Source organism: Homo sapiens, chromosome 6 (assembly GCF_000001405.40).
Source record: "Homo sapiens chromosome 6, GRCh38.p14 Primary Assembly".
Classification (NCBI taxonomy): domain Eukaryota; kingdom Metazoa; phylum Chordata; class Mammalia; order Primates; family Hominidae; genus Homo; species Homo sapiens.
Genome location: NC_000006.12, coordinates 30,347,654 through 30,370,596, shown reverse-complemented (window position 1 = coordinate 30,370,596; position 22,943 = coordinate 30,347,654). Strand labels below are relative to the sequence as shown.

The following is a 22,943-nucleotide window of genomic DNA, read 5'->3' as shown; positions in this document are numbered from 1 at the left end:
ATTTTAGGCCAGAGAGACCCATATCAGACTTCTGACCTCCAGAACTGTAAGATAATAAATTTGCGTTGTTTTAAGCCACTTCATAGCAGTAATTTGTTACAGCAGAAACAGAATACTAATACCAGTCACCATTGTAGCTCTTGGAGGCTGCAGCTGGGAGGTCAGGGAAGCATGTGCTGAAGAACTTAGCCTGAAGCACAGGTGGGAGGTTCCTAGAACCCTGCTGGGAGATTGCTGTCATTCTCCAGAACCTCTGAGAAAGCTCCCACCATTCATCTCGGTCTGCACAGGCAAAGCAGATGGGTCTTTGGCCTAGCACAGAAGCCACTGAGAACCTGACATCTGCCTACTCTTCTGCCTGCAGCCACGACTGATGGGTAGAGGCCTGTCTCTCCATCTCTTCTGGGCACCATATCTCATGCAAGTTTCTCTGATTGGAAAATGTGAATCGGAACTACACAGGGAAGGGGATTCTGGGAGACATACTCCTTGCTTCTCGGCAGAGAAGGTGGCTGCTGATTTGATAAGACACAATCCTGCACATTAGTTAATGATGGCAAGTGTAGATGGGCTTGTTGACCCCTGATTGACAAAGCAAAGATTCCACAGCTGATGTAAACTAGTGATGTGTTTAAGAGACTTGTTTAAACTCAGCAAATATTAAGTGTGATGTGTCATGGATTATGAAAAGAGTAAACTCATGGTTTGTGCTATTTACCTCAGTATTACTGAAGAAGGATCCTAGAAGCCCACTGATCCAGCTAGACCTTTATGTTTTTTTAACTTTTATTTTAAGTTCAGGGGTCCGTGTGCAGGTTTGTTATATAGGTAAACTTGTATCATGGGGATTTATTGTATACATTATTTCATTACTCAAGTATTAAGCCTAGTACCCATTAGTTATTTTTCCTAATCCTTGCCCTCCTCCCAGCCTCCAATAGGCCCCAGTCTCTGTTGTTCCCCTCTTTGTGTCCATGTGTTATAATCTAACTTCCACTTATAAGTGAGAATATGTGGTATTTGGTTTTCCATTCCTGCCTTAGTTTTCTAAGGATAATGACCTCCAGCTCCATTCATGTTCCTGCAAAGGACATGATGTTGTTCTTTTTTATGGCTGCATAATATTCCATGATGTATATGTACCACATTTTCTTTATCTAGTCTACCATTGGTAGGCATTTAGGTTGATTCCACGTCTTTGCTGTTGTGAATAGTGCTGCAATGAACATACACATGTATATGTCTTTATAACAGAATGATTTCTATTCCTTTGGGTATATACCCAGTAATGGGATTGCTGGGCTGAATGGTATTTCTGTTTTTAGGTCTTTGAGGAATTGCCACACTGTATTCCACAATGGTTAAACTAATTTACACTCCCACCAACAGTGTATAAGCGTTCCTTTTTCTCAGCAACCTGGCCAGCACCTGTTATTTTTTGACTTTTTAATAATAACCATTATGACTGGTGTGAGATGGTATTTCATTGTGGTTTTGATTTGCATTTCTAATAATCAATGATGAGCTTTTTTCATATGATTGTTGGTTGTATGTATTTCTTCTTTTGAGAAGTGTCTGTTCATTTCCTTTGCCCACTTGTTAATGGGGTTGTTTCTTGTAAATTTCTTTAAGTTCCTTATAGATGCTGGATATTAGATCTCTGTCAGATGCATAGTTTGCAAAACTTTTCTCCCATTGGGTAGGTTGTCTATTTACTCTGTTGCTAGTTTTCTTTGCTGTGCAGAAGCTCTTTAGATTAACTAGATCCCATTTGTCAATTTTTGCTTTTGTTGTCATTGCTTTTGGTGTCCTCATCATGAAATCTCTTCCCATTCCTATGTCCTGAATGGTATTGCCTATGTTGTCTTCTAGAGTTTTTATAGTTTTGGGTTTTACATTTAAGTCTTTAATCTATCTTGAGTTAATTTTTGTATATGGTGTAAGGAAGGGGGCCCCGTTTCAATCTTTGCATATGACTAGCCAGTTATCCTAGCACCATTTATTGAATAAGGAATTCTTTCCCCATTGCTTGTTTTTGTCAAGTTTGTCAAACATAAAATAGCTGTAGGTGTGCAGCCTCATTTCTGAGTTCTCTTTCTGTTCCATTGGTCTATGTGTCTGTTTATGTACCAATACCATGCTGTTTTGGTTATTGTAGCACTGCAGTATAGTTTGAAGTCAGATAGCATAATGCCTCCAGCTTTGTTCTTTTTGCTTAGGATGGCCTTAGCTATTTTTGGTTCCATATGAATTTTAGAATAGTTTTTTCTTTTTCTTTTTATTTGTTTATTTATTATTATTATTTTAGATGGAGTCTTGCTGTGTCACCAGGCTGGAGTGCAGTGGCATGATCTGGGCTCACTGTAAACTCCACCTCCCAGGTTCAAGCAATTCTTATGCCTCAGCCTCCCAAGTAGCTGAGATTACAGGCATGTGTCACCACACCTGGGTAATTTTATTTTTATTTTTTGTATTTTTAGTAGAGACTGGGTTTCACCATGTTGGCCAGGCTGGTCTCGAACTCCTGACCTCAAGTGATCTGCCCGCCTCGGCCTCCCAAAGTGCTGGGATTACAGACATGAGCCACCAAGCCTGACCTTAAAATAGTTTTTTTCTAGAACTACATATTTAAATTGGAAAAGATGTGTTGTATTCTCTGAATCCTAGTGGCTCACAGGAGCTGTCTAGAATAGCCTGACTATAGCAATTCCTAGTTAAGCCAGAAGTTTGAAATGAGTTCAAAGTGTAGGGATAAAATTCCAGTGAGAGGCAGAAAACTGGAAAGTTAATGCTTTTCCATGTTAATCAATCAAGTCCATCAATTGTTTATATGTGTAGCTTTCTCTCTTAATTTGAATAATTTCTTAGAGATGAGTATCACTGTGAAGTGTGGGGTGGCTATGAAAGTATAAGATTGCTTCTAGCAACTCACACAGTCACTCATGGATGCTCGGCCCAAGACCCTGATAGCCACGGTTCCACTCCAAGGGAAAAGAGGCCATCTGAGGAGCAAATAGAACTCTGTCACAAGATGAGTGCAGGAAACACCCCAAACACAGTCCCTAAGGTCGATGCAGAAACAGCGTAAGAAGAAAGTGTCCAGATATCCAGAATCCTATGAGGTAGGGATTCAGAACTCTCAAAGGCCACCCTCTTACATCTGTCAATAGGTCAAGGTTTCTGTGGATGTGTGTGGCTGTGGCTGACAGGGACCCCAGTGATCCCTATGAGGTTAGACGTAGCTTAAGAGAGAATAAGGGGCACGCACATGCACACACACACACACACACGCACACACACACGCACACACACACAGAGTCAAGGGCAGCCCTTCAAAGCTTCCCATCATCTTCCTCTGTCCATATTTCATTCTCCATCAGCTCACTTTCCATTTTTTCCTTTTTAAGCAATAACAAATTAGTTATATGATGCTGGCTGGTGTGGTGACTTACATTTGTAATCCTAGCATTTTGGAAGGCAGAGGCATGGAAATGGCTTAAGCCCGAGAGTTTGACAGCTGTGTGATTCTAGACAGAGTCCTTCACTTCTCTGTGTCTCCATTTTCTCATCCATTTTATGTGAATCACTATTTCAACAAACAGGGATCAAACGTAGACTGTTTGAGGGAAAAGTAAGTAAGCCAGTGTAGCTGTCTTCATTGATCCTGGTGTCCAGTAGGGGAGATGGACACCTTTTTTAGTGTCATACCTAATGTTACACATTTTAAAAGTAAATTTTTTTTAAATTTGTATGTGTTGTCTCTTGAACTCTCACTATGGAGAGACACTCTCAGTGTGCATTGTTACTGTAAGAATCCCTATTTTTCATCTATCCAACAAATACAGCTTGAAGGCCCAGAATATGCCAGCTTCTGTGCTCCTCCTTGAAAATAGAACAGTGAGGAGCATAAACATAGGCATTTATGTTCTGAAGTTACAGTGTAGTGAGAAAGAAATACATGAGCCAGATGAATAGAAGCTACTACAAAAAGTGCTTTGAGAAGGAAGGAAAGGATCTGTGAGAAAAGAAAGGAGGAAGAGCAAAGCCAGTTTCAGGAAAGCAGGCTAAACTTCCAACAGGAATCCAAGTATAAAAAAAAAAAAAAAAAAAGCAGGAATTAGGCAGACCCAAGCAAAGGGAACACCTAGTCCGACCAAAAAATGAAAGGCTTTGCAGCATGTTTGTGAAACTGTAAGCAGAATCACTGGCTAGTGCAAGAGGAGAGAGAGAGAAAATTGGAAAAGTGTGCAAGGTCCTGTTCACACAGGGTTGGGAAAATTGGTTAAGAATTTGGGTGTTATCCTGAGGTTAATAGTGAGTCATTAAAATATTTTAAGTAAGAAAGAAACAAAAGTGGATTTTTGTTTCAGCAGGATTCCTGCAATTGTAGGGCACTGACCCAAGTCTTGCTTGGGTCAGAGCAAGACTGGAGGCAATAAAATGAGTTGGGAGATTTTGAAGAACTCTGAACAACAGAAAGAGTGACAAGATCTAGGGCTGTGGAGACTACGCTGGGATCCAGGAGGACAGGCACTAGAGATGGTGCAGCTACAAAGGCTCGGGGGCAGGGTCGGGAAAGCCTGAAGCTCCCACTTGTGGAGCAGAGGAGAGGTCTAACACCTGCACACCCCAGTGAAGGGGCAGAATGGGAGTGAACAAGGGAGCCCCTGGGCTGGGATTTTCCATGTTTCTGGCACTAGGACGGGGTGGGCAACACAGTGTGGAGCCCAGAGTAGAGTAGAATTGCAGGTTGTCACTCAACAAGATGTGCAGCAGCTAAAGGTTGTGGGAGTCATGTAGGGGAAGGTAAATCCAAAGTAGCTAGAAGATGCACAAGACAATAACCCCTGGCTCAGAACCTCTGCACACTTGCAGGCATTTGGTCTACTCTGTAATTGATTTGCCACTGGGAACCTGCTAGCTCCCCCACTCCTTTCTCGTGATCCTTTCTATGATCTGGCTCTTTGGTCCTCCTGTTGAACCTCCCTCCCATGCACAGTTGCTGGATGACGTCTCTTGGTGCCTCCATAATTGCTCACTAATGTGTGGTGTCCTTTCATTCCCAGGCTAGAAGGGCCTAAATATGAAAAAAATCCTGAAGAGACCAGGCTCCTTTCCTCCATCCTTTCTCCTTAGGAAAGCAGGAGGAGATGAGACACTTCAAAATCCTGGAGGTACAACCACTGGGACATGTGATGTGATCCCAGAAACTTGAGAGAAAGGAAGGGGTCTCAGGACGGGGTGTGTGTGTGTGTGTGTGTGTGACACTAGAGAGTTTGGGACAGGACTATGTCCTCTGTGCAGAAACAGCTGAAAACCTGGAGTTGAGAATTTCTACTGAAGGTCCCAGAAACACCCTGAGAAGAACAGGAAAATGGGAAGAGACAATCATAGTGACTGGCAAGTGAAGGATAAATAGCCAGGAGACATTTTTTTAGGTTTTCATAATTTACTTTACAAAATCATTGATAATGCATCAATGATAGATCCAAAAATATTTATTTAATCTCCTCTAGAGACAGTGATAGACTGTGACAATATAATGCTCAGAGAGACTTGGATTTAATTATAATCCAATTCTAATTGTGATTGTGACCACAGAGAGCCTGGAAGCAGTCTGTACTGGACCACATATACTGATTTATAATTCAGCTTTATGCTGGTTTCCACAGTTCTCACCACAGCTGCCACTGTGTCCCTCAATACTGAAGGGCATGTCCTGGCCAGGTTTTTCTGGCATTGAACAGGTACTGGCTACTTCTGGGTTCCCCTCACTTGCCTGCCACCTCCTGGTCTCCCTGAGTCACTGACAACTATGACCTGTAGATGCCACTCTGTGGAGCCCAAGATCAAAAGACACTGTGAAGACTACAAAAGGGAAAAGGCCAGCACTTTGGGAGGGTGAGGAGGGTGGATCAGGAGGTCAGGAGATCGAGACCATCCTGGCCAGCATGGTGAAACCCCGTCTCCACTAAAAATACAAAATTAGATGGGCTACTCAGGAGGCTGAGGCAGAAGAATCACTTGAACCTGGGAGGCAGAGGTTGCAGTGAGCCAAGATCATGCCACTGCACTCCAGCCTGGCAACAGAGCAAGACTTTGTATAAAAAAAAAAAAAAAAGAGAGAGAGAGTGAGAGAAAGAAGTTCATGTCGCCTGGACTAGCTCCATCCAGCAGTGCAAGGGAAAGATGCCGTGTTGACCAAATGTGCTGCTGATTTTCTGAATGTTGAGTGAGGATGGATCCACAATGGAGTCACAGTGGATTCTTCCTAACACCCAAACCCACAGAGAAAATGACTTCATAATCAGTGACTTCAGCAAACGCAGACCCTGGGAAGTCATGGTTTCTCATACACCATCATTTCTTTGTAGCAACTTCACATCTGGTTCTATCAAGAGGAATCCTTGTGGGTTAGGTGCCTTTGGAAAGATGTTTGTGTACTTCAGAGGATGGGAAATCTATTTTAAAGTACACTTCAAAGCCCTGACTTTATAAGGTTCTTAAGTATTGCCGGTTCCCAAACATTGCCAGTTGATACATAGAAATCTAGATATTAGATTCAGCTTTATCCTCTGGATATAACATGACAATTGTTAAAACTTTTCTCGCTTCCAACAATGATGCATAAAATGATGACATACCAAAGCAAAGCCTTGAGCAATCTTGAGAGAATCCCAGGGGCATATTTTACTCTGTTGAACATGTAGTCTGACATTGAGGGACCAATGTTGAGTGCCGTTCAAGAAAGTTTGGTGGGGATCCATCCGTTTCCTTAGTGAGCAATGTTTCCTCAGTTGAATGTGATCAGTTTTCCTATGTAGAAACTAGAGAACATTACCTAATCCCTGGTTTCCATAACAACCATTGAGCACCACCAGCACTGGGGGTGACACTGACAGGTCCTCACAGGACAAGTACTGTTGCCCCAAGTAAGGGCCTGCAGTGGAAGGGATGCAGAGCTTTAGCAGCAGGAACCTGAAACCTGAAACCTCACCACCAGGCACAGCATATAATCTGCCACTTCATGAGAAGTTTAACTTAATCATTGATCCACAATTGTGACACACTTTTAACCAAAGCCTAAAGGGAAATGAAGGCCTCATTACAGGTTCAACACAGTTTACAAACATCAGCCACAAAGACCCAGACTTATCTTAGGGATTGCTTTTGGCCTGGCGGGATTGAAGATGGGGATGCATTGGAGCTCTGCAGAGAACAATATGACCCTCTGTCACCCTGAAGGAAACAGAAGTTCCATACCAGGCATCATAGAATCTGATTTTGCCCACACATACTGCAGGCTCCTGAAGGAGAAAGTTCTCACCGGTACAAACCCTAAAAGTTAGTTTTCAGGAACAAATAGCTCTGTTTACTACAGTGAAATTTTTGAATCAAAAAGCAAATTTATAATGTCTAATAACAACATAAGTGGGTAGTAGGATCTTTGGAAGTTTTGGAATACTGTAGCACAGCGATGTTTCTGTTTTTTTAAAACAAAGTTATTTAATTTGTATAATGTTTCACAAATACTTAAAATAATACAAAATTACATTTTGAGCTTTGCATTGTCTTGTTAACATATGGTGATGCAGATAGAACGCAATTTATACTTTTAGATACAAATAATTGATTTTGAATTCAAGGAACTTGTTTGAATCAAGTACTTCTTTGGCATTTAATGAGTTTCTTGCAAACAGGTATCAACTTTTAAATTTGAGATACATAATTTTGCCTTACAACCATCCAATTAATTGCTTTTTAAACATTAGATTGTGATAGTTGTATTAGTTTCCTGTGGTTGCTGCAACAAATTGCCATAAACTTGATGGTTTAAAACAACAGAAATCTATCTTCTCACAACCTTGGAGGCCAGGAGCCCCAAATCAAGATCTCAGTAGGGCTATGCCCCTTCCAGAGGATCTAGGGGAGAATCAGTTCCTTGCATCTGTCATATTCTGGTGGCTGCAGGCATTCCTTGGCTTGTGGCTGCATCACTCCAATCTCTGCCTCTGTCTTCACATCACCTTCTCCTCTGTGTGTCTGTGAACCTCAAATTCCCTATGGGTACTGGGCTTAATACTTGGGTGATGAAATAATTTGTACAACAAACCCCTGTGACACAGGTTCACCTATGTAACAAACCTTCAACGTGTACCCTCAAACCTAAAATAAAAGTTTTTAAAAATTCCCTCTCCTTGTCTTTTATAAAAATACATGTCATTGCATTTAGGGCTCACCCAGATACTCCAGGCTAGCTCATCCTCTCAACATTCTTAAATTAATCATATCTTTTGCCATACAAAGTAATATTCACTCTTTTGTCATATAAAGTAATAGTTACATGTTCCAAGGATTTGACATGGATATCCTTGGAAGGGTTGTCTTCCAGACTACCAAAGTAGTACATTAGTTTCCTATGGCTGTTATAACAAATTACCACAAATTTGGTGACTTAATATAAAACATATGTATTCACTTACCGCTCTTGAAATCAGCAAATTAAAATAATTTTGAGTGGACTTCAGTTCACTCAAAATTACTTTCAGTGGACTAAAATCAAGATGTCAGATGGGCTGGTTCCTTCTGTAGGCTCTAGGGGAGAACCCATTCCCCAATCCTGTCCAGCTTCTAAGGCTGTTTATGTTACTTGGCTTGTAAGCCCTTCCTCCACCTTCAAAATGAATCACTTCAGTCTCTCCTGGCATCATCACATTCCCTTCTCCTCTGACTCTGACACTTCCTGCCTCCTCTGATAAGGACCACTGTGATTATATTGGGCCCACCCAGCAAATCCAAGATAATCTCTCTCAAGATTCTTAATCACATTTACAAAGTCCTTTTTCCCAAATAAGGCAACACTCACAGTTTCTGGGGATTAGGATGAGATTAGGGACGATTAACGAGATTACTCAGGTAGTAATTTGTGAGTAAAATTATTATAGAGAGGCAAATTATTTATATCTTATAGTTTGCAGAGCAATGTTGTTTACTGTGACTTTGGCATGTATTTTTAGCAATTAAAATGCTTTAAGGATTTATACCACATATTGATGGCTTTTGATTCTTTTGTATTCAAGACTATGCACATTTGGGGCTGTGTTTTCTAGAAACATACACAGTAACAGTATCTGAGCAGAACTTAGAAATACTGTATTACTATGAGAAAGTACATTTCGTTAATCTAACACACATTATGATTTATATTTGGCTCACAAGTTGATATGCCTTCTCAGATTTTTTCAGCTGTTTCCTTCTTTCTCTTTCTAAGTCGGTGCTCTACCTGGACTGGGTCAACTTGCCTCTTCAGGACTAGAAGAAACACCATGTTGCAAGGCATGGTATAGAAATACAACTGACTGCTACATATTGATTTTGTATCCTGCAACTTTGCTGAATTTGTTTATTAGTGCTCTCTCTCTCTCTTCCTCTGTGTGTGTGTGTGTGTGTGTGTGTGTGTGTGTGTGTGTAATCCTTAGGGTTTTCTGCATATATGATCATGCTGTCTTCTAACAAAGATAATTCTACTTCTTCCTTTCCATTTTGGGTGTTTTACTTTATTTTTCTTGCCTAGTTACTCTGGCTAGAACTTCCAATACTAAGTTGAACAGATGTGGTGAATAGGTATATTTGTCTTGTTTCTGATGGTAGAGAAAAAGCCTTCCTCATTCTTTCTCCTTGAATATGATGTTAGTGATGGGCTGCTCATATATCGCCTTTATTGTGTTGAGGTAGTTTCCTTCTATTCCTAGGTTGTTGAATGTTTTTATCAGAAAGGGTGTTGAATTCTGTTAAATGCTTTTCTGTGTCAATCGAGATGATTATGTGGACCATGAAAGTTTTGAAGTAGGAGAGAGACAGATGACATTTTCCTTTACAAAGACCTCTCTGGTTGCAGGCAGTCTTTGGAGGAGAACAAGACTGAAGGCAAAGAAATGTGTTGGGAAATTTTGGCAGAAATCCCAGGGACAGGCAATGATGATCTGAGCTGGGGAAGTGGCCACACACTACGATTCGCACCCCAGACAAGAGCAGAAGCCTGAGATGGAGTAGCTCCATAGGCCTAGGTGGGAGAGAAGGCTGAACCAGAGACCAGAAGCGTGCTGAGCTGAGTACTAAGCCCGCTGCTGCAGGTCAGTTAGAGGTCCAGAGGGAAAGGAGCTGTGGGTCTCCCGGCTTGGGGCACTGTCACGCAAACTAGGTTTGCGGGGATTAAGCTCTAAGTATTCGTGCACTTGGAAGGAGCGACAGCAGATGGGGAGCGCTGAGCGAGGACAGGGATGTGCAGTCTGCAGAGAGAACAGGAGCCGCCCTCGGTCGGCTAGAGGGCTGCAGTGCAGTGCCAAAGGAGGGACTCTGGAAGAGCAAAGCTGAGATCTGCAGTGAAAGTGACAGCAGAAGAACTTGAGGAAAAATACATTTCTCTGCTTTTTCGACTGTATTTGGTCTCTCTTTTCTAGCACTGGAGCCCATCTTCCTCTTTTCTTCCTTCTGGCCCTTTCTTCAATTGGACCATGTTTTCCTCCTATTGAAACACCCTCCTATTGTGACACTGCAAACCTCCAATAAATCGCCAACACTGTCCCTTGAGTCTCCAGAGTGTCTCACTCTTTCCAGACACGCTGGTGATTATTCATCTGCTTCATCTGCCTCCTTCCTGAGCTATGGCTCCAGGTGGAAGTGGTCAGCCTTCCTACATAGAACCTAGACACACATTACCCAATCCATGGCCCATAGCAAACTTCCAGAGCTCAGCAGCAGCAGCTGCTGGGTAGGAGGCCCCCGCCAACACCCAGCACCAGCAGCCCCCACTAGAGTTTTACTGCACCATATAAAGGACATGGAGTGAGAAGAGTAAACAATGTCTTGCAATAGGTAACTGAAACCCCACAGATTACCCACAATGTGTAGCCCTGCTCCACAAAAGCCACGATGAACTGAAAGTAGAGAATCCTGAATTTGGGGCACAGTTGCAGAATTCCGATATTCTCTCAGCCCTGACACACTTTAGTGGATTTCACTGCCCTTAGCCACAGGAGCCTCTAAGCTCATCTTAGGGTTTACTCCTGGTCAGAGATTAGGTGGGAGTGAGGGGTGGATTGGGAAGCAGTGAAGGCTCTACAGGGTGACGTATCTAAGTATGCAATTGCCAAAAGCATAAGTCTCTCATCAGGCACCACAGAAACAGTTTTTTCAGCCAGTGCTGCAGACTCCTGCTAGACAGGGTGAATCCACATCACCTACAAAATTCACGAGTCAGTTTTGCACACTGGGCCGTTGAACTCTGAAGCAAACTGGGAAGTTCTAAAAGCAATAGGAATTGGGGTTACTTAGTAATTAAGATATAGCAACTTATTCCTGGAAAAAAAGTATTTTCTATAATAGTTCTTAAATCATTAAAACGTCTGCTAAATTTTGAGTTTTGATACATTCCCTGCTTAAAGTGAACACAATAAATTCTAAACTGAAATGCAGCAAGTGGGGTTTTTGTTTTGTTGTGTGGTGAGAAGAAATGCTGTTTTACTCGAGGTGGTTGTTTCAACGACGCACTTCTCTCCTGCATTAATTTAAAAAAAATTACAAACAAATCTCAAACTTCACATGAGGATAAATAGGGTTTCTTCTACAGCTCTCCAGTTTGTTTTTAAATATAATATTTTAAGTATGTAATTTATCGGAGTAAAATTTATTAGAATAATTCATTAGAAGCCACTTGTTTAGCTCCATATTTGTTCAGCAATGTTGCATATTGGGACATTGGAATATTTTTTGTGTAAGCAAAAATCCTTTATATTTATACGTGTATCGACAGCTTCCACTTTATTTGTGTACTACATAGCGTGTGATTTTTGACTCTGCTTTGTAGAAAAACACATTTCAACAGAATATCTCCAGCTGATTTTATAGTTTCTTACAGCATTTTTGAAAAATATCACTCTGCAAACGTGCTGCCTCAGTACTGTCCTTGAAAACAGTCGAAAATCTTAATTTAGTTATTTTTTTTTCAATTTTTTCAATTTTTTCAATTACACTGAAAACTCGCATTGTACTATGTCTCAGCACTCCCAGATTTACTCAGTGTTTGCTGAAGGAGGTTTGCATCCTGCTGGGAAGACGCATTTGGCAAGGCTTTTCCTCTTCTTCAGGAGATCGGCTAAGATGCAGTTTGATTTGTAGTTCGGTACTATTGCTTTCACGGAAAGTGTCACGCAAGCTTCATTTCCTTTTATGGCCTATATATATGCAGAACTGCGCTGAGTGTACCAGTTATTCTCCTTACATGGATAATAAATAAATTTTAAATTGTAAAAGATAAAGGTTGAGACTGGAATGGCGCTTGATGAGCTTTGGCACACCCTGTGGGGGCGGTCAACTTTGGGGATCCCAGGACACGTAGCACTAAGGACCGCTCCAATCGACAGAGGGGCGTCCAGCCGTCGGGGGCGGGCGGAAAGGAAGGCACAGCGGAGTGGAACCGCGCAGCGCACGCCACAAGCACCAGGATTTCATTTCACTGGGGCAGCGCGTGGGGTCCCGACGGGAGGGATGCGGGGTCAGCGCTTCTGCCTAGATAACGCGACGCGGGGACCTTGGGGAGACAGGTCTGTGATAACTCGACCCTGGACCACACCCTATGGCGGATTTGGTAGGTAACCTCGGTGAAGGGGGGAGTCTTCCAAAGAAGGAATGCAGGAGCTGCGTCTTCCAAAGAAGGAATGGAGGAGCGGCAGGAACACAGAGGAAGGCGGAGGGGCGAGGAGGAGGTTTCTTTCTGGGGCTCTATTTGGTAGGTTGATTGGTTTTCTCTGGGCTACAGCCCCCTCTAGCGTTTCTTATGCGCTAGGACTTCTGCCTTCTTTCATAGGTCAGTAAGGGTTTTTTTCTATTTCTAATATTTGTGGAAAATTTTCACCACTGGACTCATCCTTCTTTACAATTTGGATTTCAGTTCCCCTAATAACGTTTTAACAATATCTTAAGAGTCAAGGAGGAAAGATTTTGTGCCCAGTTGGCCACCTTGAAGGCAGAGGCGTCTGTCATGGTCTTTCTTTTTCTCTTTTTTCTTGAGAAAGGGTCTCGCTCTGTCGCCCAGGCTGTGGTGCAGTGGCGCCATCTCGGCTCACTGCAATCTCTGCCTCCCGGGTTCAAGCGATTCTCCCACCTCAGCCTCTCAGGTAACTGGGACTACAGGTATGCGCCACCACGCCCGGCTGATTTTTGTGTTTTTAGTAGAGACGGGGTTTCATCATGTTGGCCAGGCTAGTCTCGAACTCCTGACCTCAAGTGATCCGGCCTCCTTGGCCTTCCAAAGTGCTGGGATTACAGGCACAAACCACCGCACCCGGCCACTCATAGTCTTTTAGTAGGAGTATATTTAAGGGGCAGTCTTTGCATAATAATAGGAGAATTGAAGTTTTAAAGTCAGATAAGTTGTGCGAGAGTCTCAACTAGTCCGCTGTCCAGTCATGAGATCTTAGACACGTCATGTAAATTATCTAAGCATTAATTAACTTATGTATAAAATGGATGTAATCATGTTACCATCCACACTGGGGTTTTAGGAAGGACCGATGTAATAAAGGGAGGGCTTTATTAATAACCTTCTCTTTATCTCACTAATCATTGCTAATTTCTGCTGTTTCCTAGGTGTCTCAAAACTAAACTCATGCCTCTGGCAGTTATTTGTGGAGCAAATATTATGTGCCAGGCAATGTTCAAGTGCTGAGAAAAATATAAGGCATAAAACACATAGTTACAAAACATAGCTATCAGACAGAGCCCCTGCTTTCCAGGAACCCACAGTTGTAAAGAGGAGACAATAAATGCAATGACCTTGCAGTGTGATAAGAGCTAACACAGCAATTTATGCAGGTGTTGTGGGTATTACAGGGGAGGAAGCCTGCCTGGAGCATCAGGCTCAGAGGATCTGTGTAGAGCAGGGATTCTCAACCTCAGCGTTACAGTGAGTACTTGATGTTTCAGGCCACATAACTCTTTATTGTGGAGGTTGTCCTGTAAATTGTAGGATGTTTAGCAACATTCCTAGCCTCTACCCACTAGATGCCTGTAACACCAACACCTTCCTGATTGTGACAACATCAAAATATATCCAGACATTGCCACATGTCCTGAGGGAAGGGGGTTCACTTGAGAACTGATGTGTAGAAGATAGCTGAGACATCACTCAGAGTTGGATTTCCCAGAGGCATCTTTATTTGGCAGAATGACAGATTAGTTTTTCTTATTTTTAAAGACGGGATTTCACTCTGTTGCCCAGGCTGGAGTGCAGTGGCGAGATCATAGCTCACTGTAACCTGGAACTCCTGGGCTCAAGCGATCCTCCTGCCTCAGCCTCCCAAGTAGCTGGGACTATGCATGTCACTAGGCCCGGCTGATTTTTTTTTTAATTTTTATAGAGATAGCGCCTCAATATGTTGCCCAGATTGGTTCTAAACTCCTGGCCTCAAGCGATTCTTTAGCCTCAGCCCCCCAAAGTGCTAGGATTATAGACACACATGGCCCAAGTTAGTTTTTAATTTAGTTTTTTGTTTATATTAATATATAATTGGTTCCTTTGTTATTTTAATGTATTAGAAAAATACTAGTTTTAAATTGAAAGTAGAGATACAATTCTTTTCTTTAAATATATTTGGGCAAAAGTGATACTGCAGAAAACAGTGAATGAAAGAAGATAAAAACAATAGCATCCAACCACATACAAGTCCTGACAATTTTGTAACTATCATGCTATTTCACTCTCCACTGCAAACTCAGCCTCCTGTTGTACTTGTTTGGATTAGGACCTGGAGAGTGCAGAGTTTGGGGCAGGGTGCAGGCAGAGCAGTTCAAGGCAAACCTTCCCTCCAGGGCAGGGCCCCCTACTCCTGCTTAGAAATACCCAGCATTCCAAAGAGAATGTTCCCCTTCTTCTCCCTAGGCCTTGATCTCTCCTTGGTTTCAGGCAAAGGACTTCAAGACTGAGGAATTCTTACAAGTTTTCCTTAGGCTGCACTGCCCTTGAGCTCTGAAGCAAAATTACGTTTGATGCCCAAGAACATAGGAGGTGAGAGTGAAGGGAAGAGGTGGGTGCAGCTGCTTTTACCAGAGAGTTGGCGGTGCTAAAAGCCTGAGCTGGGGAGCTCGCTGCCATCTCTGCCTAGGAGTCCTCTGTCTCAGGAGCTTTAATCTTCCTAAAACATGATTGGCTCACTCACTGCACACGTTTTCAGTCCATCTGCCCCTGACCCACATCCTTGCCTAGGTCCCCCTTGAAGCACAGCAAGGACAATTTGGGTCAGAGAAGTTAAGCCTCATTTGTTTTAGGAAATGAAAAAATAGACATATCAGGATGGGTCAATCCATTTGTTAAGTAGAGATGGGACCGTTTGGGATACAATACCCATAAATCACATTTGTGCAGTTCTTGATTTTTTTTTTTTTACATTAGGCTGGAATAAGACTACAAAATTTCTCAATTTTTTTATAAAGGTGTTTCCCACCCACTGGAGCCTGACCACTTGAAAGAGTTACTTCTGTACACATTTACATAAATCATTATTAGGGCCCTATAACAGAAACACACACACACACACATACACAGAAACCGTTATTTATCAGGTGATCAAAACCCAAAGATTTGATGATGCCTTATTGTGCTGGTGAAGGTAAGGTAATCAGACACTATTTTGTGTCTTGTTTTGTATGGGGAGTAAATTGATGTAATTTCTGTGAAAGGCAACTGGTATTTTCCATCAAAATTTAACTGCAAAAGTATTTGATCTGGCAACTTAACCTTTAGAAATTTATCATGTGGATAAAGACCCAGGTGTAAAATAAAATGTGAGCAAAAAGCTTAAGCATAGTACTCTTTTCACTTCACTTTAAAGTCGTTTTTATCGTGAACAATAACATGACATAAATGCAAAAAAGTACAGCTAAATGAAGCATACATGCAATGTACCTACTATCTTACTTGAGAAATTAAACGTTGCTGGCAGCCCAGGTGCCTCTACTCCAGCAATCACATCCCCTCCCAATTGGCTACTACCCTGAATTTTCAGGCGATGTTTTCTTGCTTTATTTTCAAAGTTTTCCCACCTAAGAAGAAATCACTAAATAATAAATTATATGTCTGTATGTATATTCATATTTTATTGTTTTTGAACAGTACATAAATGGAATCATACAATATGTGTTCTTTTGTATCTGGAGTTTTGCTGAATAGTATGTTTTTTTTGGTTTGATTTTTTTCTTTTTTTTTTTTTGTTTTGAGACAGTTCGCTCTTGTTGCCCAGGCTGGAGAGCAATGGCGTGATCTCGGCTCACTGCAACCTCTGCCTCCCGGGTTCAAGCGATTCTCCTGCCTCAGCCTCCTGAGTAGCTAGGATTACAGGCATGTGCCACCAAGCCAGGCTAATTTTGTATTTTTAGTAGAGATGGGGTTTCTCCATGTTAGTCAGGTGGGTCTCGAACTCCTGACCTCAGGTGATCCACCAGCCTCAGCTTCCCAAAGTGTTGGGATTACAGGCGTGAGGCACCACACCCAGCCACTGAATAGTATGTTTTGAAGACTCATCCATGCTGGATGTATAGCCATACCTAAGCTTTACATATTGTTTATGGGCAGAACATTTGAAAGAAGGTAAATACTCAACAGGGAGCAGACTAAATAAATTATGGTATACCCACACAATAGAATATTATGCAGTGATGAAAAATAATGAAGCTGATGTTAGATACTAAAATGGTAAGAGCACTAAGTTTTTTTGCTAAATAAAAAGCAGTATATGACCCATAGAATAGTATTCTACCATTTGTATGAAAGAAAAATTTAAATCAATACCAACTTGTTTATATATATTTACAAAAATATCCAGAATATTTTTACCGTATTCTCCTCTGGAAGATAAAATGGGTAGCTGGAAAATTAATTCCCCTATCTATTTGCATACTTTCTGAATTTCCTGCTACTTGCATGTATTACCTATTGAAAATGAGGCTAGAGAGTGAAACAAAATATTGCCCAGTCGCACAGCTGGCCAATGTCAGAGCCTGGACTCAGCCTGTCCCAGTTATAGGGATTTTAGGCCAGATCTCTTTCTACAACTGTAAAGCCAAGAAGGAATGAATCAACAATTAGCTTTATACTCCATAACCTGGGAAAGCCTAAAAGCATACTCCAACTGAGCCTGAATGTTGGTTTGTTCATTTTCCCCACAGTTCCTCTTCAAGAGACAGTTTCAATCCCACAGTTCTGGTTAAATTCCACTGGGCTGAAACGGGTAATTTCAGAATGACCCACCACAAAGCAGGACACATCCCTAAATGACAGGCTTTGGTCAGGATGGCACAATAAGTTCATGCTTAGGCAAAGACTCTCTGCCCCAAATTACATGGCAATAAGAAAAATGTAAAAAGAGAAAAGTTATAGTTGAGTTAAGGACAAGAGAAACACCACTCTCCATGAAGAATGGGTCATCAACAGAAAGCAAAGGCAGTGGGAAGGGCTGATGCTTCCAGCATGCTGTTTGTCAGGAGACTGGCTGAAGGCAGGCTCTCTCCTGAAAGAAATTGCCACTGACCACTGCTTGCAGCTGAGGCTTCATAAGAAGCTCCAGGCCCAGGCAGATGGGAGGACTCAAGTGCAGCTTGGAGAGGAGGCATTCACTGAAGCCTTAGAGAACCAGCAGATTACTTCACACAATCTGTAGAAATCAACTCAAAATGTATTAAAGGCACAAATGTACCAGGTAAAACTCTAAAAGAATTCTTTTCCATTACAAGAAAACAAACAAACAAACAAACAAAACAACCAAAACCTTAGGTCTTAGTCAGCCATGGCTGCTATAACAAATACCACAGACTGGGTGGCTTATACAACAGACATTTATCTCTCACAGTTTTGGAGGTGACAGCAGATTCAGTTCCAGTGAGGATCCTCTTCCTGGCATACAGATGACTGCCTTCTTTCGGTGTCCTCACAAGGTAGGGAAAGAGAGCTCCAATCTCCCTCTTCTTAAAAGAGCACTAATCCCATCACGGAGGCCCCCCCCTCCTGACCTCATCTAAACTTAATTACCTCCCCAGGGTCCCACCTCCAGATACCACCACACTGGGGGTTAGGGCTTCAACATATGAATTTTGGGGGAACACAAACATTTAGCCCATAACACCCTTCAAAGCAAAAAGAAAAGAACACCATGAAATCTAGTGGAAAAATAGGGGGAAACATTTGAATAGGCAGTTCAAAGAAAGAGAAAAATGAATGATGATGACTTATTTGAAGCTACACAGTATCACTGGCAATAAGAGAAACTCAAGTTACAACAAGAAAGGGAAAGAGTTGATACTGATTAGATTGTGACAAAGATTAAGAAGTCAGTTAAAATCAACTGAGCATGTAAAGAAAGATGAACTTGGTATATTGCTAGGGAGTATAGACTGTGGAAGCTGAAGGAAAATTTGACTTTCCTCAGGTAATTTCCATACACACAAACCTAGAATCCAATTTGTAATTGTGGCTAAGTACTCCAGAGGCCCACTCTCATAGGTCCATGGTCTAGAATTCTACTACAGAGATATATATGGTAACATATAGTTGGAAGCAAACTAGTTGACTATCCATAAGAAAAGGGATAAACAAAATGTTTTAAAAGCATAATCTATGGCAGTCCAAAACACTGAATTAGATGTATATACAGTACAGAGAGCTTAAAAAACGTTGTCAGCCGGGTGCGGTGGCTCACGCCTGTAATCCCAGCACTTTGGGAGGCCGAGGCGGGTGGATCACGAGGTCAGGAGATCGAGCCCATCCTGGTTAACACGGTGAAACCCCGTCTCTACTAAAAATACAAAAAATTAGCCGGGCATGGTGGCGGGTGCCTGTAGTCCCAGCTATTCAGGAGGCTGAGGCAGGAGAATGGCATCAACCTGGGAGGCGGAGCTTGCAGTGAGCCAAGATCGCGCCACTGCACTCCAGCTTGGGCAAGAGTGAGACTCTGTCTCAAAAAAAAAAAAAAAAAAAAAAGTTGTCAAAAAGATAAAATGGTCTCTGCAAGCTCCATGTCCTAGGTATAGTCCTCCCCATCCTGCTGCCAGATCAATGTGATCTCTTCAGGGTGGAAGCCCAGGGCCCAGCACCTCAGGGTGGTATTACAGTCAGAGATGGGGTCATAGTGGGTGCTGGTGGGGAATGCCTTTGGGGGTCCGAAGAAAAGGGTCAGAGGAAATTTAGAACATTCATTTCCCTTCCATAGGCCATTCAACAGGGCTCATTGATCGCTCTAAGAAGGAAAGGATTTTAGGAAGAGAAACTCAGATACCCACATCTACTCTAAGAGTCCAGGGGGAACACTTTCCTGTTTCAAAGCAGAGTGAGGCAGGATATAGTTGGAGGCACCAGGTCTGAAAGGAGGTGAGGGGGTCCTAATTAAGTAGTGTCAAGGTCACAGTGGGCAGGGCCAGGGTTAGAACAAGCTCCAAAAAGAATCAGGATGGAGGCAGAAGATAAGGTCTGAGAGAGACAGTTTGGTTCTTGAGGAAGTAGCTGCAAGATCATGAAAATTAAAAGCTTTTATACATCAAAATATACTATCAAGAGAGTGAAAAGACAATCCACGGAATGAAAGAAAATGTTTGCAAATCATATATCTGATAAGGGTCTAGTATTCAGAATATATAAAGAATTCCTAAAACTCAAAACATAAAGGCAACCTATTTTTTTTAAATGGGCAAAGGTCTTGAAAGGACCTTTTTCCAAAGAAAATATACAAATAGCCAACAAACACATAAGATGCTCAACATCATTACTCATTAGAGAACTGTATATCAAAACCACAAAGAGGTTTTGTGGTTTTTGTCTAGTGTTTTGGATTGACTTCTAGCGGTTTTATACCCACTAGAATGTTATTATAGGATGGCTATAATAAACAACAAAACAAACTGAAAGTAAGTGTAGATTAGGATGGAGAGAAATTAGAACCATGTGCATTGCTGGTGGGAGTGCAAAATGGTGCAGCAGCCATGAAGAGCAGTTTGGTAGTTCCTCAAAAAGTTAAAATATAAAACTATCAAACGAACCGCACCTATATCCTCCAACAAAAAAACTAAAAACAGATACTGAAACAGAACCTTGTACACAAATGTTCATAGCAGCACTGTTCACAATAGCCAAAAAGCAGAAATAACGGAAGTGTCCATTGATGGCTGAATGGATAAACAAAATGTGGTATATCCATATAATCGGCTACTATTCAGCCATAGAAAGGAATGAAATACTGACATTTGCTACAGCACGGATGAACCCTGAAAACATTATGCTAAGTGAAAGAAATCAGACACAATAAGCTACAAATTGTATGATTCCATTTATATGAAATATACAGAATAGACAAATCCGTAAAGGCAGAAACAGATTAGTGGTTGCTAAGGGCTGGAATAGGGAAAAATTGGAAGTGACTGTTTAATGGAAACAGGTTTCTGTTTGGGATGATGAAAAAGATCTGGAACTAAATAGTGGTGGTGATTGTATAATATTGCAAATGTACTTAATGCCACTGAATTGTACACTTTAAAATGGCTAAAATGATACATTTTAAGTTAAGTATATTTTACCACAATAAAAAGAGGAACCACTGGGGGGCACTGGGTGAGGATGTAGGGGACATTTCAGTATGCTCTTTGCAGCTTCCAGTGAATCTATATTTCAAAATAGTTTTGAAAATTTATTAAGCAGTTACTAAGCATAGGCACTATCTTCATAGTGATATAATTGTTTTAAATTAGAGATACACACTGATTTATTATGGTGACAATAACTCAGATTCCTCAATGTTCAAGACCTGTCTTTTCTAACGTTTTTGCTACTTGAATTCAAAATAACAGTCTCTCAATCCTTCTCTCTTTTGCCTCCTGACAATAACGATACTGGTTTTCACTAGTTTTGAAAGTGCTAAATGAACTTAATGTTCAGGGAGTGACTAAGGCATAGTTTCTATGGTTACTGGAAGACCTCATTTCTTGATTCGATTTGAATAACCTAAGTTTCTTCTCTCTCCTTTAATTTTATTTAGAGTCCTAAAAGGGCATAAATTTTGAGTTATTGAACTTCTAGAAACACTTGAGAAAGCTACTGCATTCCAGGGATTCAGTTTATTTTCATCTTTCATCTAGGAAATCCATTTTTGCATATAATATGCCACTATCACATTATATATCTTTATGATGTATCTGTATTAATACATAGAATCATGTATCAATGTATAGAATATAAATGTTATATATGTAATCATATATTTATAATTAAACATGAAAAAGGAAAGAGGAAGAGGGCTGTGGAAAGAGGAAGAGGGCTGTGATCTTTAGAGTTATATATTGATAGAAACCCACAACAAATAAAGAAACCACAAAGACTCACAAGTGAACCAGATTCCAGATACTGTTTTGTCTGCCGCTCATCCTGACTGGGACCTGATTCCCATGATCTCCCACATGAGAGGAATCACTTAGTGACTGAGCCATGAAATCGAAACTCAGTTTCCCCACTGCTATCCCACTGTAGACATGTTCAGTCACATGCAATCATAACACACTCAAGACAAACTTAGCCAAAGATCAGATTAAGTGTGCAAGAGTCGAGCTCAGTCATCCCAAATTAAACTTACTGGAGGAGCCATGGAAGGTGAGCTGAGGATGCAAAGGACCCAGGTATGCACGAGGTGTTACTTTCAGGCTACACATTTTTGTTGGACTGAAAGTTGACCCAGGTAGGCACTATTTCCAGAAATAAAATGTCAAAGGATGACTCAGAAACATTTACTTACATGTACACTGTTTAGTATTTTCTACGCAAATAATTTACTGACATGTGAAGGAGGCAGTGGAGAGACCAAGTCAGGGACAAAGGCAAAACAAGAATGTGGTAGATGAGTGATCCCCAACCTTTTTGGCACTAGGGACAGGTTAACCAGGGACTGGTTTTGTGAAAGGCAATTTTTCCATGGAGCAGGAAGGGTATGGTTCTGGGATGAAACTATTTCACCCCAGATCATCAGCAATTAGATTATGATAAGGAGCATGCAACCCAGATCCCTTGCATGCGCAGTTCACAGTAGGGTTCATGCTCCTATGTGAATCTAATGCTGCCACTGATTACTCAGGCAGTAATGCTGGCCCATCCCTCCCTTCCACCACTGCTCACCTCCTACTAGGCAGCCTGGTTCCTAACAGGACACAGCCCAGTACCAGTCCACAGGGCCTGGGGGTTGGGGACCCCTGTGGTAGATTGTTACACTGGTGATCCCCAGGGAACTAATGAACCTCCCAGCGTTCAAACTCCAGTGTAGCCCCTTCCACATTGAATCTGGCATTGGCACTGTGCCTTGCTTTGGCCAAGGGAACATTAGCAAGTGTGACCCCAACAGAGGCTCGATAAACACTTTTTTTTTTTGAGACAGTCTCACTCTGTCACACAGGCTGGAATGCAGTGGCGCGATCTTGGCCCACTGCAACTCTGCCTCCTGGGTTCAGGTGATTCTCCTGCCTCAGCCTCCCGAGTAGCTGGAATTACAGGTGCCTGCTACCACGCCCTGCTAATTTTTTTGTATTTTAAGTACAGACAGGGTTCCACCATGTTGTCCGGGCTGGTCTCAAACTCCTGAACTCAAGTGATCCACCTGCCTCGGCCTCACAAAGTGCTGGGATCACAGGTGTGAGCCACAGCATCCAGCCAAACACTTACATATTGGGATGCTTTTGTAGAAGCCAGAGGGGATGTAAGAAATACAACTACCCTGAGTCAGCCATGCTGTGGGAACATCAAAGCTAGCGAGGGAGCAAGGCTACTTGGAGAAGCAATGAGGTGCTAAACACGTGAGTGAAATTTCTTGGGTCTTCCAGACCACCTACGAGATAGCAGCTAAATGCAGCTATTTAAGCTGATTTCA

General features: G+C 41.8%; 2 pseudogenes, besides 1 other annotated feature; one reads left to right on the top strand and one right to left on the bottom strand.

The window, feature by feature from the left end:
• UBQLN1P1 (ubiquilin 1 pseudogene 1) lies at positions 6,486–12,003 on the top strand (annotated as a pseudogene).
• Positions 14,698–15,199: an enhancer, noted in NCBI's record as "NANOG hESC enhancer chr6:30323175-30323676 (GRCh37/hg19 assembly coordinates)". NCBI's record gives its function as "activates a minimal SCP1, AML or CMV promoter by ChIP-STARR-seq in naive H9 embryonic stem cells {active_cell/tissue: H9 hESC(naive)}" and the evidence as "EXISTENCE:reporter gene assay evidence [ECO:0000049][PMID:30033119]".
• Positions 18,559–19,523, bottom strand: HLA-N (major histocompatibility complex, class I, N (pseudogene); annotated as a pseudogene).